Raw genomic sequence first — 17277 nt, 5'->3', positions numbered from 1 at the left:
ATGGGAGAAAAATTTTGCAATCTATCAGTCTGACGAAAGTCTAATATCCAGAATCTACAAGGAACTTAAGCAAATTTACAAGAAAAAAAAAACCCATTAAAAAGTGGGCAAAGGACATGAACAGACAATTCTCAAAAGAAGACATACACGCAGCCAACAAACATGAAAAAAACTCAACATCACTGATCATCAGAGAAATGCAAATCAAAACCACAATGAGATACCATTTCATGCTAGTCAGAATGGCGATTATTAAAAAGTCAACAAACAACAGACGCTGGCAAGGTTGCAGAGAAATGGGAACACTTTTTACACTGTTGGTTGGAATGTAAATTAGTTCAACCATTGTGGAAGACAGTATGGCGATTCCTCAAAGATTTAGAATGGGAAATACCATTTGACCCAGCAATCCCATTACTGGGTATATACCCAAAGGAATATAAATCATTCTATTATAAAGATACATGCATGTGTATGTTCATTGCAGCACTATTCACAATAGCAAAGACATGGAATCAACCCAAATGCCCATCAATGATAGACTTGATAAAGAAAATGTGGTATATGTACACCGTGAAATACTATGCAGTCATAAAAAGGAATGAGATCATGTCATATGCAGGGATGTGGATGAAGCTGGAAGCCATTATCCTCAGCAAACTAACGCAGGAACAAAAACCAAACACCACATGTTCTCACTTATAAGTGGGAGCCAAACAATGAGAACACAGGGACATGGAAAGGGGAAAAACACACACTGGGGCCTGCTGGGGGAGGAGAGGGGGGAGAGCATCAGGAAAAATAGCTAATGCATGCTGGGCTTAATACCTAGATGATGGATTGATAGGTGCAGCAAACCATCACGGCACACATTTACTTATGTAACAAACATGCACATCCTGCACATGTACCCCAGAACCTAAAATAAAAGAAAAAGAAAAAAAGGGAAGCAGAGCATAAAAGTTTGGAAAATTTGCAGCCTGACCATGTGAAAGAAAAGAAAAACCCATTTTCTGGGGGAGGAATTAAAGCAAGCCTGCTGCAAAAATTTGCATAAGAGGAGCCGAATGTTAATAGTCAAGAAAATAGAGAATATGTCTCCAAAGCATTTAGAGATACTTATGACAGCCCCTCCCATCACAGGTCTGGAGGCCTAGAAGGGAAAAATGGTTTTGTCGGCCATGCCCGGGGCCCCACTGCTCTGTGCAACCTCAGGACACAGCACCCTGCGTCCCAGCCACTCCAGCCCCAGCTGTGGCTAAAATGGGCCAAGATACATCTCAGGCTGCTGCTCCAGAGAGTGCAAGCCAGAAGCCACCAATGTTTCCATGTGGTGTTAAACCTGCAGGTGTATAGAGGGCAAGAGTTGAGGCCTGGGAGCCTCCACCTAGATATCAGGGGATGTACAGAAACACCTGGATGTCCAGGCAGAAGTCTGCTGCAGGGGCAGAGCCCTCATGCAGAACCTCTACTAGAGCAGTGTGGAGGTGAAATGTGGGGTTGGAGTCCCCACACAGAGTTCCCACTGTGGCACTGCCTAGTGGAGCTGTGAGAAGAAGGTCACCAACCTCCAGACCCCAGAATGGTAGATCCACTGACAGCTTCCACTGTGCACCTGAAAATACTGCAGGCACTCAACACCAGCCTGTGAAAGCAGCTGTGGGGGCTGTACCCTGCAGAGTCACAGAGGCAGAACTGCCCAAGGCCTTGGGAGTCCACCCCTTGCATCAGCATGCCCTGGGTGTGGGACATGGAGTCAAAAGAGATTATTTTGGAGCTTTAAGATGTAATGACTGCCCTGCTAGATTTCAGACTTGCATGGGGCCTTAGCCCCTTTGTTTGGCCAATTTCTCCCTTTTGGAACAGGAGTATTTACCCAATGCCTGTACCCCCATTGTATCTTGTAAGTAATTAGTTGCTTTTTATTTTACAGGCTCATAGGTGGAAGGAACTTGCCTTGTCTCAGATGAGACTTTGGACTTGGACTTTTGTGTTAAGACTTTGGGGGACTGTTGGGAAGGCATGATTGTGTTTTGAAGTGTGAGGAGGATGTGGGATTTGGGGGGGCCCGGGGCAGAATGATATGGGTTTGTCACAGGATCCTTGAGGTGTCACTTCACCAGCTGGAAACCTCTGTGGCCAGTGGTGCCTTTTCTTGAGTTTTGCTCAGGCCCACTGGGCTCATTCTGCCCACTTGGCCTGGCAGACTGTGCTTGGCTCATCCTACCAGCTTGGATCCCAGGCCTGCCAAGGGTGAGCCAGGCAAAGAGCGGTGAGGGGTGCATGAGTGAGCAAGCACAGGGTCTGGCCACTACGCAAGCCAGGCACACCAGCTGTGGGTGGGAATAGGAGTTTTAATTTTTCTCTTTTTCCTGTAATACTTCTTTTCTATCACTCTGGCCAACTGCCTCCCACTGGGAAATACCTCTTTTGTCCTTGTTGGGTGTAGAGGCCACTCTAAGGCCTAACTGGACACCATGCTGCCACTGTTTATCCTGCTTGCCCTCCCAATCACCCTGATCCAGGGTGGGTGGTAACAGAATGCTATAGTAAATATTTCAAAAATTACAGCATCAGGGAACCATCTTCATGGTTGCTGGGTTTGTCATCAACATCCCCAGGACAGAGAGTTCCATCTTCTGGCCTATCTGGAAAATCTCACAGCCATCTCCCCAGACTTCCTAACCAACCACAGTGATCCCAAAGTACCCAGACCCCTACTTGTTAGGTGGAACTCTCCTCCACTTAATGGATTTCACCTGAACCTCCATCTCCCTACCCCTGTACCGCACTCCCCACCACTGTCACTTGGACCCAGAAAGCTGGCTATCTATGTCTCCGGTGTGCTAACGATTCTCTTTTGCATTCACTGTTGTGTTGTTAACGACACAAAAGCAGAAGCTTCCCTGCAATGTTCTCACACAACTTGTTGCCAAATTCTCAAGGCTGCAGTGAAGTAAATCGGATCCCACTTGTGAGTGAGGAAATTATAGATGGTGCCTTCTCCAAGATCAGAGCATATAGGGGAAAAAACAACTGTCTAATCTGGGAAGGTGGGAGTACCACCCTGTCCTGGAAAACAAAGGTTGTTCAACCACCCCCATTGGAGCAGGGAAGGAATATCTCTATAGACCCAACTTGGCAGGAAAGGATACACATCACGCCCCACAGGGCCTCTATTTGTGTCCCAACTGGGTTCGTTTTTGTTTGTGGCCACAAGTGGGAAGAATCCCACCCCGTAACCACTCCCAGCACCCAGCTCTCAGCTCCCCAGGGAGCCCACCTGTTCTTTTAGAAGTAGCTTTCCCTTACATATCAAAATCTTGGAACAGGAGTGAATGTATGTTGACCACCCTTGCCCCTCCAGGGGCCGCGTCTATAACCCCATAAGACCTAAGAACATCAGAAGATAATGAGCAATAGGATTAATTCTGGGAGGAATCAGGGTAGTAATAGGACAATCTTAGCCCCCTGATGTGACTTTGCCTACCACGAGTCAACCCTGAAGAATTCGACTCAAACCCTAGAATCATTAGCCACCAGCACAGGTCAGGCATTAAAAGGGAATACAAGAATCCCTAGACTGTATGGCAAATATAATCCTTGATAACAGACTAGTGTTGGATTATTTAACGAGCTGAACAAGGTGGAGTCTGTACGGTTATTAACAAAACCTGCTGCACCTATATTAACAACTCTGGACATAATAATGTTAACATTCAAAAGATTTATGAGCAAGCTCCCTGGTTACATAGACATAACCAGAGCACAGACCCAGCTAATCTGGTCAACTGTCAGAAATGCCCTCCCAAGTCTCACCTGGTTTTTACCCCACCTGGGACCTTTGGTAGGTATATCATTACTACTAATTTGTGGCCCTTGCTTGTCTAACCACTTAGTAAAGTTTGTGTCTTCCAGATTGCAACACTTCTACATCAAGAAAATGTGGCAATAAGGCTGCCAAACCCTCCTGTCTTCTGAACCGAATCCTTGTAGATTCTGGATATCGCACCTTCATAGGAATATTCTGAGAATATTTTCTCCTATTCGGTAAGCTGTCTGTTTACTCTGTGATAGTTTCTTTTGCTGTGCGTACACTCTTCAGTGTCACTAGGTCCCACTTGTCAATTTGTTGTTGTTGTTGTTGCAATTGCTTTTGAGGACTTAAGTAATAAATTCTTTCCCAAGGCTGATGTCCAGAATGGTGTTTCCTAGGTTTTCTTCTAGGATTCTTATAGTTTGTGGTCTTCCATTTAAATCTTTAATCCATCTTTAGTTTTTGTATAAGGTGAAAGGTAGGGGTTCAGTTTTATTCTTCTGCATATAGTTAGCCAGTTATCCCAGCACCATTTATTGAATAGGGAGTCCTTACCCCATTGCTTATTTTTGTTACCTTTGTCAAAGATCAGGCCTTCCTTGGCCTCCCAAAGCACTGGGACTACGCGTGTGAGCCACTGTGCCCAGCCCAGTATGGCCATTGTAACAATATTGATTATTCCAATCCATGAACATAGGATATTTTTTCCATTTGTTTGTGTCATCTGTGACTTCTTTCAGCAGTGTTTTGTAACTTTCCTTATCAATATCTTTCACCTCCCTGGTTAGACGTATTCCTAGGTATTTTATTTTTGTGTGTGGCTATTGTAAACGGGATAGCATTCTTGATTTGGCTCTCCGTTTGGATGCTATTGGTTTACACAAATGCCGCTGACTGGCCGGGCGTGGTGGCTCACACCTGTAATCCCAGCACTTTGGGAGGCTGAGGCAGGCAGATCACGAGGTCAAGAGATTGAGACCATCCTGGCCAACATGGTGAAACCATGTCTCTACTAAAAAACGAAAATTAGCTGGGCGTGGTGGCATGCACCTCTAGTCCCAGCTACTTGGGAGGCTGGGGCAGGAGAATCATTTGAGCCCAGATTGTGCCACTGCACTCCAGCCTGGTGACAGAGCAAGACTCTGTCTCAAAAAAGAAAAGAAAAGAAATACTGCTGACTTTTGAATGTTGATTTTGTATCTTGAAACTTTACTGCAGTCATTACAGTTCAGGAGACTTTTGGTGGAGTTTTAGGGTTTTCTAGGTATAGAATGATAGCATCAGCGAAGAGAGATTGAAGGGGGCCAGCCCCTTCACACCTGTGGGTATTTCTCGTCAGGTGGGACGAGGGACTGAGAAAAGAAATAAGACACAGAGACAAACTACAGAGAAAGAACAGTGGGCTAAGGGGACCGGCGCTCAGCATACGGAGGACCCACAGCGGCACCAGCCTCTGAGTTCCCTCAGTATTTATTGATCATTATTTTTACTATTTTAGCGAGGGGAGTGTAGCAGGGCAACAGGTGGGGAGATGGTCAGCAGGGAAACGTAAGCAAAGGAATCTGTATCACGAATAAGTTCAAGGAAAGGTACTGTGCCTGGATGTGCACGTAGGCTGGATTTATGTTTCTCTTTACCCAAACATCTCAGTGTAGCAAAGAGTAACACAGCAGTGTTGCTGCCAGCATATCTCGCCTCCAGCCACAGGGCGGTTTTCTCCTATCTCAGAACAGAACGAATGGGAATCGTCAGCTTTCCACCGAGACATTCCATTCCCAGGGACGAGCAGGAGGCAGAAGCCTTCCTCTTATCTCAACTGCAAAGAGGCCTCCCTCTTTCACTCCTCCTCCTCAGCACAGACCCTTTACTGGTGTCGGGCTGGGGGATGGTAAGGTCTTTCCTTTCCCACGAGGCCATATCTCAGGCTGTCTCAGTTGGGGGAAACCTTGGACAATTCCCAGGCTTTCTTGGGCAGAGGTTCCTGCGGCTTTCCGCAGTGCATTGTGTCCCTGGTTAATCGAGAATGGAGGATGGCGATGACTTTTACTAAGCATATGCCGTGCAAACATATTGTTAACAAGGCACAGCCCGCACAGCCCTAAATCCATTGAACTTTGATTCAATACAGCACATGTTTCTGTGAGCACAGGGTTGGGACTAAAGTTACAGGTTAACAGCATCTCAAAGCAGAAACAATTTTTCTTAGTACAGATCAAAATGGAGTTCCTTATATCTTCCTTTTCTACAAAGACACAGTAACAATCCGATCTCTCTTTCTTTACCCCACAGAGATAGTTTGACTTTTTTTCCTATATGCATGCTTTTTATTTCTTTCTCTTGCCTGATTGCTATGGCTTGGACTTCCAAAAGGGTAAATTTTTAATATATAAATTATTCTTCAATAAAGCTGTTATTTAAAAAATAAGCCAGGACAGTCATGGTGGCTCAAGCCTGTAAACCCAGAACTTTGGGAGACCGAGGCAGGTGGATTACTCGAGCCCAGGAGTTCGAGACCAGCTTGTCCAACATGGTGAAACCCCATCTCTACTAAAAATACAAAAATTAGCCAGGCATGGTCACACTCGCCTGTAATCCCAGCTACTAGGGAGGCTGAGACAGAGAATCGCTTGAACCTGGGAGGCGGAGGATGTAATGAGCTGAGATCATGCCACTGCACTCCAGCCTGGGTGACAGAGTGAGACTCCATCTCAAGAAAAATAAATAAAGGAAGGAAGGAAGGAAGGAGAAAGAGAAATTATGGAAAGAAAAAGAAAAAAGAAAGAAGAAAGAAAGAAAGAAAGAAAGAAAGAAAGAAAGAAAGAAAGAAAGAAAGAAAGAAAGAAAGAAAGAAAGGAAAGAAAGAAAGAAAAGAAAAGAAAAGAAAGAGGGAAAGAAAGAAAGAAAGAGACCGGGTGCGGTGGCTCACGCCAGTAATCCCAATACTTTAGGAGGCCAAGGCGGGCGGATCATGAGGTCAGGAGATCAAGACCATCCTGGCTAACACGCTGAAACCCCGTCTCTACTAAAAATACAAAAAATTAGCCGGGCATGGTGGCGGGCGCCTGTAGTCCCAGCTACTCAGGAGGCTGAGGCAGGAGAATGCCGTGAATCCGGGAGGCGGAGTAGGCAGTGAGCCGAGATGGCACCACTGCACTCCATCCTGGGCAACAGAACAAGACTCTAAAAACAAAACAAAAGAAAGAAAGAGAGAGAGAGAGAGAGAGAAAGGAAGGAAGGAGAAAGAAAGATATAAAGAGAAAGAGGGAAGAAAGGAAGAAAGGGAGAGGGAGGGAGGAAGGAAGGAAAGAAGAAAGAAAAGAAAGAAAGAAAAAGAAAGAAGAAAGGAAGGAGAAAGAAAAAGAAAAAGAAGAGGGTAGGAAGGAAGGAAGGGAGGGAGGTAGGGAGGGAGGGAGAGAGGGAAGGAGGAAGGAAGGAAGGAAGGAAAGAAGGAAGGAGAGAGAGAAGGGGCTTGCCTGTTTCTGAGATGATTTACCTTTAAGAGGCAGTCGAGCCTTAGGGGTTTCTGGCCAAACAGAAGAGAAAGGACATGAATTCAAACAATGGGCATCCCAGCCTGAGCAACACAAAAAGACCCCATCTGTACAAAAATTAAAATGAAAATTAATTTTTGAAAGATAGCCAGGAATGCTGGTGTGGGCCTGGGCTCCAGCTACTGGAAAGGCTGAGCGGGGAAGACCACCTGAGCTCAGGAGTTCAAGAACAGCCTGGGCAACATAAGAAGACCCTGCCTCTAAAAAAATAAATAAAAGAGGGATGGGGCAGTGGAGGAGCTTGCAGCAAGAGTGCAATAAAGGTCATAAAGTTCACATTGCAATTGGAGGGATCTGAAAGAGTTTTACGTTTTCCCATTTTTATTTGATAAAGGAATCCTTTAGGAATTAATTTTTCTTTTCTTTTCTTTTTTTTTTTTTTTTGAGATGGAGTCTCCCTCTGTCACCCAGGCTGGAGTGCGGTGGCGCCATCTCGGCTCACTGCAAGCTCTGCCTCCCAGGTTCACGCCATTCTCCTGCCTCAGCCTCCGGAGTAGCTGGGACTACAGGCGCCCGCCACCACGCCCAGCTAATTTTTTGTATTTTTAGTAGAGACGGGGTTTCACCGTGTTAGCCAGGATGGTCTCAATCTCCTGGCCTCATGACCCGCCCCACCTCGGCCTCCCAAAGTGCTGGGATTACAGGCGTGAGCCACCGCGCCCGGCCCCGAAGTGGTCTTTGAGGGAAGGGCACCATTCGGGAAGGGGAGCACTGAGGTCACAGCGGGAGCACGCCCACCCGGGAGCAGAAACCCCTCCTGAGGGCAGGACCCCAGCCACCACACACCCTGGCAAGAGCTCGCAACCTGGGGTTGCAAACCCTCCACTGAAGGCAGTGCTGACCTGAGGGTCTCCCTAGGAGGACAGGCGTGAGCAGAGAATCTGTCTGAAGACAAGGCAAAACTGAAGGTGCAGATGAGGACTTAGTTTGTTAGATAAGAACAGTGGATTCACGAGATCTGAACTCACTGGCCCTTGGTGCCCTTGAGACAGGGACATTCAGACCTGTGTTAGTTCATCCTCTTCCCAAGGAGCTCTTCACAACAGAAGGTGACAAGGACAGACGGACACACAGAATTGTTGTTAGGAGCAAAGTAGTTTCCACAAGGATCAAAATCTTCATCTCATCAGATAATCAAAGCACACGTAAGAAGGCTTTCTCAATCCTGGAACACAAGGAGCTTTCACAAAAGAAAACCAGAGGGTCACGGGGAGAGTGCTGGTTCCAGTCGCAGGTCTCAGGCCATCCTGGGGAGGCCGTCTCAGCCGAATCCCATGGGAACATTTAGGACCATTCACTGCCAACAACTCAACAGTGACTCCCAGAAAACTTGTTTATTTTTAGAGACAGGGTCTTGCTCTGTTGCCCGGGCTAGATTGCAGTGGTGCAACCACAGCTCACTGCAGCCTCAACCTCCTGGGCTCAAGCAATCCTCCCCCATCAACCTCCCAAGTAGCTGGGACTACAGGTGTGCTCCACCACACCCGGCTAATTTTTTAGTGTTTTGTAGAGACAGAGTCTTGCTGTGTTGCCAAGGCTGGTCTCTAACTCCTGGGCTCACGCAATCCTCCCACCTCAGCCTCCCAAAGTGCGCCTGGCCTCATAGGATTTTAGAATCTGGGCTCAGATGGTTGATGGTCTGTCTTTCAGTGCAAGGACTCATTGGGATAGGACAGAGCTTATGGCCCAACAGTGCAGGACAGAGAAACACAGCCAGATGAAGGTTCTGATGAGTGAGCTGGTTCCCAGATTGGTAAACTATGTGCCAGGATACATTGTTCTGCAAGATTTTCCTGAAGCAAACAGTGATTGACTGATTTAGTTTTATCTTCCTGGAAAGAATTTTCTGGAAATAATCATTAAATCAGGTTGACACAGGTGATCTCAGCTCTTGATCCCAAGAGTTAAGTGGACACAGGTGGTCTCAATTCTCATCCCGTCCTCAATATTCTGCCAAGGCCCCTCTGTCTTTTCCATCTCTTTTTTTTTTTCATTTTCTTTCTTTCTTTTTTTTTTTTTTTTTTTGAGACGGAGTCTCACGCTTGGTGCCCAGGCTGGAGTGCAATGGCACGATCTCAGCTCACGGCAACCTCCACCTCCCAGGTTCAAGCGATTCTCCTGCCTCAGCCTCCTGTGTAGCTGGGATTACAGGCATGAGCCACCACGCCCAGTTAATTTTTGTATTTTTAGTAGAGACAGGGTTTCACCATGTTGGCCAGGATGGTCTTGATCTCTTGACCTCATGATCCACCTGCCTCGGCCTCCCAAAGTGCTGGGATTACAGGCATGAGCCACTGTGCCCAGCCTTCCACCTCATTTTCTCTGTCATCATTTTTTTCTCCAGCTTCCAGGAGCCGTCGTAGCAGCCGATTAGGACTGGCTGCTGGTGTGGTGATGACCTAGAGGGCTTCTCCCAGGTAAGGTGAGAAGAGGGATCCACTCACTGCAAGAGGCTGCATAAACTTAACCCAACACTGTAAAGGCTCTCCTCATGAACAAAGCATTAGTAGTCTAGATAAAATACTAACAAGCGAAATCTAGCAACGTGTAAAAAAGAATAACATAGTCCAAGTTGGGCTTATTCTAGGAAAGTAAGGTTTATGTAATTTGAAAGGCAATCAATGTAATTCATCACATTTACAAAATAAAGGTGAAAAAATCATACAATCATCTCAGTATGCACAACAAAACATTTTATAAGAACATTTGATAAAATTAAATGTTGGTCATGATTTTTAAAAACCTGTAGCAAATTAGGAATAGAAGGGAACTTCTTTAATTTGATCTAGGGCACCTTAAAAAATAAGCAAACATGGCCGGGCATGGTGGCTCACACCTGTAATCCCAGCACTTTGGGAGGCTGAGGCGGGCGGATCACGAGGTGAGGAGATCGAGACCATGCTGGCTAACACGGTGAAACCCCATCTCTAATAAAAATACAAAAAATTAGCCGGGCGTGGTGGCGGGCGACTTGTAGTCCCAGATACTCAGGAGGCTGAGGCAGGAGAACGGCCAGAACCCGGGAGGCGGAGCTTGCAGTGAGCCAAGATCACACTACTGCACTCCAGCCTGGGCGACAGAGTGAGAATCCGTCTCAAAAAAATAAGAATAAAAATAAGCAAACATATCACTTAATGGACTCATGTAACAGTGAAAAGTATGGCGGGATAGCTAACAGGCCAACCCTCCCACTGATTAAAGGCTTTGGAGCATAAACCAAAGCAAGCGGATTTTGGAGGGAAGTAAAAACTTGGAGGAAAGGACCAGCCTGGTGAATTTGTTTGTTTGTTTGAGACAAAGTCTTGCTCTGTTGCCCAGGCTGGAGTGCAATGGTGTGATCTCAGCTCACTGCGACCTCTGCCTCCCGGATTCAAGCAATGCTCCTGCCTCAGCCTCCTGAGTAGCTGGGATTACAGGTGCCCACCACTGTGCCCGGCTAATTTTTGTATTTTTAGTAGAGATGGGGTTTTGCCATGTTGGCCAGGCTGGTTTTGAACTCCTGACCTCAGGTGATCCACCTGCCTCGGCCTTCCAAAGTGTTGGGATCACAGGCATGAGCCACCACAGCTGACTGATCCTGGTGAGTTTTAAGGCCATTTTCAAAGCTTAAGCCTGAGGACAGCTAGGGAGCCCCGGCATGGTGCAAGCAGATAACCCTAACAGAAAACTGACTGTCTTTCTGGATTTACAAACCAGAAAACAGAGCCTGGACCCACACAATTTCCAGGAAGTCAGGAGGGAGTCCTAAAACGGAAAGAGCCAGAGAAGTCTCTGATAGATCATGCAGGCAAAGGTAGCCTCTAGCAGCTTGCAGGCAGGGCCGCACTGAGATTTGAAAGGCCTCTAAACCTACTCTACAGAAAGCCCAGAGGCAGACACAAAGTCAACAGGGGAGAGGTCACTCCTGCCTTTACACAGCTGCTGAGAATAGATGAAAAGTCTTGCCAACTTATTTAAAAGGCTAGGCTGGGCACGGTGGCTCACACCTGTAATCCCAGCACTTTGGGAGGCTGAGGCAGGCGGATCACAAGGTCAGGAGATCAAGACCATCCTGGCTAACACGGTGAAACCCCGTCTCTACTTAAAAAAAAAAAAAAAAATTAGCCGGGCGTCGTGGCGGGTTCCTGTAGTCCCAGCTACTCAGGACACTGAGGCAGGAGAATGGCGTGAACCCAGGAGGTGGAGCTTGCAGTGAGCGGAGATCGTGCCACTGCACTCCAGCCTGGGCGACAGAGCAAGACTCCGTCTCAAATAAATAAATAAAAGGCTAGAAAGCCATAATTCCCAATCTAGATAAAAATGAATATATACAAATAAAATTATAGGACAATTCACTCATAATCAGAGGTGCAAATTTTAAAGAAATTCACAGCGAATTAAGAGAAACAGGGTTGTGATTAGGGTGACGTATGTGAAGCACTTGCTTTGGGCAAAATATTCAGGAGGTTCCAAAATAGTTATTAAGATAAATATTTTTCAATTAGTAGCTCCTATAAAAGGAAAATAATTTAAAAGAAAAAATATTTTAAAAGGTAAATATTTTAATACACTACCTTAAAGAGTCAAAACTCATGCAAAAAAACTATGGTGAACAAAATATAAAATTTTAAATGAAGACAGCATCAGTATCACTGATTGGTTTTCTTGCCTCAGCTCCAATATGGCTTGACATGGCACTGTTACTATCTGTCTTTGTTTAAAATTTCAGTATGTTGTTTATCATTGATTTTTTCTGGCATTGATTTTGAGTTTTTAAAATATTGCATTCAAATACCATTTGTTGTGATGGCTGAGTGTTCTGACCCCTGTTAAGCCTCCCTCAGCTCTCTCCCCTTGCCCGGGCCCTGGCCCTGAAAGATAATTCATCTTGACAAGTAAGGCTCCTCTGAGGAGCACAGGGACGGTTGAACATCAGAGATCCTATCATGACCTTGGGCACCACATTCATAGCCTAAAGGAAGGGCAGCGTGAGATTTTCTCAACAGATGCGGAAAAGCTCATTTTTCTTAAAGAGAAACACTGTTAGGATGAAAACTCTGGAACATAAAGGAAACAAGAAAACTTCCTTAAGTGGACAAAGGTGATCCACTAATAACTTAGATTATTTCATGGATAAAATTTAGACATGGGCCAGGTGTGGAGGCTCAGCACTTTGGGAGGCAGAGGCGGGAGGCAGAGGCAGGAGGATCCCTTGAGCCCAAGAGTTTGAGACTAGCCTGGGCAATATAGCAAGACCCTGCCTTGTGAAAAAAAAATTGGACATATACCTTTACGACTGAAAGCAAGACAACAGGATTCTTACTGCCCTGCTAATGTTCAACAGGACTGGAATCTTTGGCCAATACCAAAAAAATAATAAAGGAAAAGTATAAATATACATGGAAGACACAGAACTGTCATTGTCTGTAAATGAAATATTCAGAATAACCAACTAAATCAACCCACTATTAGAATAAATATAGGAGTCCATAAAGGTTGTTGGATGTATGTCCAACTTAAAAAATAGTATTTCTCGTATTCATAATAACCAACTGGAAAATAGAATACAGGATATCATTCATAAGAGCATGAAATACACTAAGGCATCTGAGTTAAGCTAATGAAAATGATTAGGAACTGTATGAGGCCTGGCGCGGTGGTGCACACCTGTTATCCCAGCTCTTTGGCAGGCCAAGGTGGGAGGATTGCTTGAGGCCAAGAGTTTGAGACGTCATCTCTACATAGTGAGACTTCATCTCTACAAAAATTTCAAAAGCTAGCTGGGCATGGTGGCACGCGCCTGTAGTCTCAGCTATGAGGCTGCAGTGAGCCAAGATTGTACGGCTGCACTCCAGCCTAGGCAAGAGTGAGACGCTATCTCTAAAAAAAATAAGTAAGAAAGAACTGGCCAGGCGTGGTGGCTCATTCCTATAATCTCAGCACTTTGGGAGGCCAAGGCGGGGAGATCACTCAAGGCCAGGAGTTGGAGACCAGCCTGGCCAACATGGCAAAACCCCATCTCTACTAAACAAACAAACAAACCACAAAAATAGGCTGGGTGTGGTGGCTCACACCTGGATCCCAACAGTTTGGGAGGCCGAGGTGGGCGGATCTGAGATCAGGAGTTCGAGACCAGCCTGGCCAACATGGTGAAATCCCGTCTCTACCGAAAATACAAAAATTAGCCAGGCTTGGTGTTGCATGCCTGTAATCCCAGCTACTCAGGAGGCTGAGCGATGAGAATCACTTGAACCCGGGAGGCGGAGGCTACTAGGGAAGGTGAGAGGCAGGAGAATTGCTTGACCCCGGGAGGCGGAGGTTGCAGCGAGCCGAGATCGCGCCACTGCACCCCAGCCTCACCAACAGAGCGAGACTCTATATCAAAAAAGAGAAAAACACAAAAATTAGCTGGGCATGGTAGCATATGCCTGTAGTCCCAGCTACTTGAAAGGCTGAGGCATGAGAATCGCTTGAGCTTGGGAGGCGGAGGCTGCAGTGAGCTGAGATCGCACCACTGCATTCCAGCCTGGGCAACAGAGTAAGACCCTCTCTTAAAAAAAAAAAAAACTGTATGGAGAAAAATAGTAACGTCTACTGAAGATCATAAAGAAAGAAAAATGAAAGCTTGTCTGTGTATCATATACTATATAAAGATGTCAGTTCTCTCTAAATTAATCTACAAACCCAATGGAAAGCCAATCAAAATACCACTAGGGTTTTTTTTTAGAAATTCAGTAAAGTTGTAAAATTTATTGCTTTAAAGTAAAAATAAGGACTTTTTTTTTCCCTTTGGTCGCCCAGGCTGGAGTGCAATGGCACGATCTCAACTCACTGCAACCTTCGCCTCCCGGGTTCAAGCAATTCCCCTGCCTCAGCCTCCCAAGTAGCTGGGATTACAGGCGCCTGCCACCACGTCCAGCTAATTTTTGTATTTTTAGTAGAGACGGGGTTTTACCATGTTGGCCAGGCTGGTCTCGATTTTGAGATGGAGTTTCCCTCTTGTTGCCCAGGCTGGAGTGCAATGGCACGATCTCCGCTAACTACAACCTCCGCCTCCTGGTTTCAAGCGATTCTCCTGCCTCAGCCTCCTGGGTAGCTGGAATTACAAGCGCCTGCCACCACGCCCAGCTAATTTTTTGTATTTTTAGTAGAGATGGGGTTTCACCATGTTGGCCAGGCTGGTCTCGAACTCCTGACCTCAGGTGACCCGCCTGCCTCAGCCTCTCAAAGTGCTGGGATTATAGATGTGAGCCACCATGCCCAGCCAAAATAAGGACTCTTTATGTTGCAGAGTCAGGCAAATAAATTAGAAAAAAAGATAAAACTGCCTTCACAAATGGCATGATTGTCTTTGCAGAAAACTAATACAATGTATGAAAAAACTACTGGAACAAATAAATGCGTTTAGCCAGGCTGCAGGATACAAAATCAACACACAAAAATCTGTTGTATTTCTATATACTGGCGACAAACACTGATAAATTAAAAATTTTAAACAACACCCTTTACAACCACATCAAGGTTATGCAATACTTGGAGGCAATTCTGAAAAGATGTGCAAGACCCTTACATTGAACACTACAAAATGGGGCTGAGAAAATTTATTTTTTAATTTATTTTTAATTTTTTAGAGACAGAGTCCCACCATGTGGCTCAGGCTGGTCTTGAACTCCTGAGCTCAAGTGATCCTCCCACCTCAACCTCCTAAGTAGCTGGGACTACAGGCGCACCACCAGCCCAGCTTTTTATATTTGTTGTAGAGATGGGGTTTCGCCACGTTACTGAGGCTGGTTTCCAACTCCTGGGCTCAAGCAATCCACCCTCCTCGGCCTCCCAAAGTGCTGGGATTACATAGCCATGAGCCTAGCTGAGAGAATTTAAAGACCCAAATAAACAGAGAGAAATACTATGTTCACTAGACAGAAGTTACCAGTTCTCCCTCAACTGACCTACAGATTCAACACAATTCCACTCAAAATGCCAGAAGCCTTTTTTTTTTTTTGTAGAAATTGACAAACGATTCTAAAATTTATATGGAAATGCAGGCTGGGCACTGTGGCTCACCTGTAATCCCAGCACTTTGGAAGGCTGAGGTGGGTGGATCACTTGCGGTCAGGAGTTCTAGACCAGCCTGGCCAACAGGGTGAAACCCCGTCTCTACTGAAAATACAAAAATTAGCCAGGTTTGGTGGTGCATGCCTGTATTCCCAGCTACTTGCAAGGCTGAGCCATGAGAATTACTTGAACGCAGGAGGTAGAGGCTGAAGCAAGCTGAGATTGCATCACTGCACTCCAGCTTGGGCAACAGAGCCAGACCTTGCCTCAAAAAAAAAAAAAAAAAAAAAAAAAAAAAAGGAAATACAGAGGACCTAAAATAACCCAAATAACTTTAAAAAAAAAAAAGTCAGAGAATTAACACTACCTGATTTCAACACTTATTTTAGAAAGCTATAGTAACCAAGACAGTCTGGTATTGGCATAAAGATAGATGAGTAAGTCAGGATAGAAAAGTCCAGAAAGGATCGTCATTTCGACAAATAATATGGGAACAACTGGATACCATGTTTTAAAATGAAAAAAACTTTGGCTTTCTAATTTTGCAATCTGATAGGTGTAATGAGGCATCTTGTTATTTTAATTTGGGTTTGTCAGGTTGCTGATGAATTTAAGCATCTCTCCATGTGCTTCTCCGGTATTTGGGTTTCTCCTACGAATTGCTTTTTTTTTTTTTTTTTTTTTTGAGACAGAGTCTCGCTCTGTGGCCCACGCCTGAGTTCAGTGGTGTGATTTCCGCTCCCTCCAACCTCTGCCTCCTGGGTTCAAGCGATTCTCCTGCCTCAGCCTCCTGAGTAGCTGGGATGACAGGCATGAACCACCACGCCCCACTGTTTTCGTATTTTTAGTAGAAACGGGGTTTCACTATGATGGCCAGGCTGTGAATTGCCTATTCTTATCTTCTGCACATTTGTCTATTGTCGGTCTTTTTCTCGTCGATTTACAAGCATTCCTTTTTTCATTCTGAATATTAATCCATTGCTTTCTGATGCTGTAACTAAGTCCTCCTAGTGGTTTGTCTTCTTGGTTAAGCCAGATGTTAACTTGGATTTTTCCTGCATAAAACTGAAGACTCAAGATGCATCAAGCACTGTATACAGAAAAGTGCTGCGTATCCTACAGAAAGCTACAGACAGTTGGGGGTCAGAATCATTCGGATTGTTTCAAGTTTGGGGCTATTATAAATAAAGCTGCTATAAACGTTTGCACACAGGTTTCTGTGAACAAAAATTTTCATTTCAACCAACTAATGTTTACGGTTCAATCATGATTTCACAACTTGAAGTAACTTTCACTCTTCTCATACTAAATTTGATATGTCGTCCACTGTTAAACTATTTCTTACCCTCAGATTATAATTATTAAACTTTTTTTTTTTTTTTTGAGAGGGAGTTTTGCTCTTGTGGCCCAGGCTGGAGTGCAATGGCAAAATCTCGGCTCACCGCAGACTCCGCCTCCCGGGTTCAAGCCATTCTCCTGCCTCAGCCTCCCGAGTAGCTGGGCTTACAGGCAAGCCATGCGCCACCAAGCCCGGCTAGTTTTGTATTTTTAGTAGAGACGAGGTTTCTCCATGCTGGCCAGGCTGGTCTCGAACTCCCGACCTCAGGTGATCCGCCCGCCTTGGCCTCCCAAAGTGCTGGGATTACAGGCGTGAGCCACCGTGACCGGCCTAATCATTAAACTTCTTTCAGCACTAGCCCCACTGATGTCACAACTTCACCCATTAGTCAATAACTTGTCTTTGCTGAATTCGACACTTTTGAATCATTTAAAAAATATTCTCTTAAATTTTATGTGCTATTTGCAATGTAACGGTTGTCGACATGACAGTTTTAAGTTTAATCTTTATCATCAACATTTTCTCTATCACTTTCT

At 45.3% G+C, this 17277-nt stretch overlaps 1 protein-coding gene across 1 annotated transcript in view; it reads left to right on the top strand.

The window, feature by feature from the left end:
- LOC124900839 (uncharacterized) overlaps positions 1-17277 on the top strand; it is a 32909-nt gene that overhangs the window by 14460 nt on the left and 1172 nt on the right. The window contains exons 2-3 of the mRNA XM_047416543.1: positions 3919-4050; positions 9713-9785. The gene's annotated coding sequence lies outside the window, so the exon portion shown is untranslated. The remainder of the gene's footprint in view (positions 1-3918; positions 4051-9712; positions 9786-17277) is intronic.

This window comes from Homo sapiens, chromosome 4 (assembly GCF_000001405.40).
Source record: "Homo sapiens chromosome 4, GRCh38.p14 Primary Assembly".
In the NCBI taxonomy this organism is placed as follows: Eukaryota; Metazoa; Chordata; class Mammalia; order Primates; family Hominidae; genus Homo; species Homo sapiens.
Note: the sequence above shows the minus strand (reverse complement) of the source record. Positions and strands in the feature narration are given on the sequence as shown.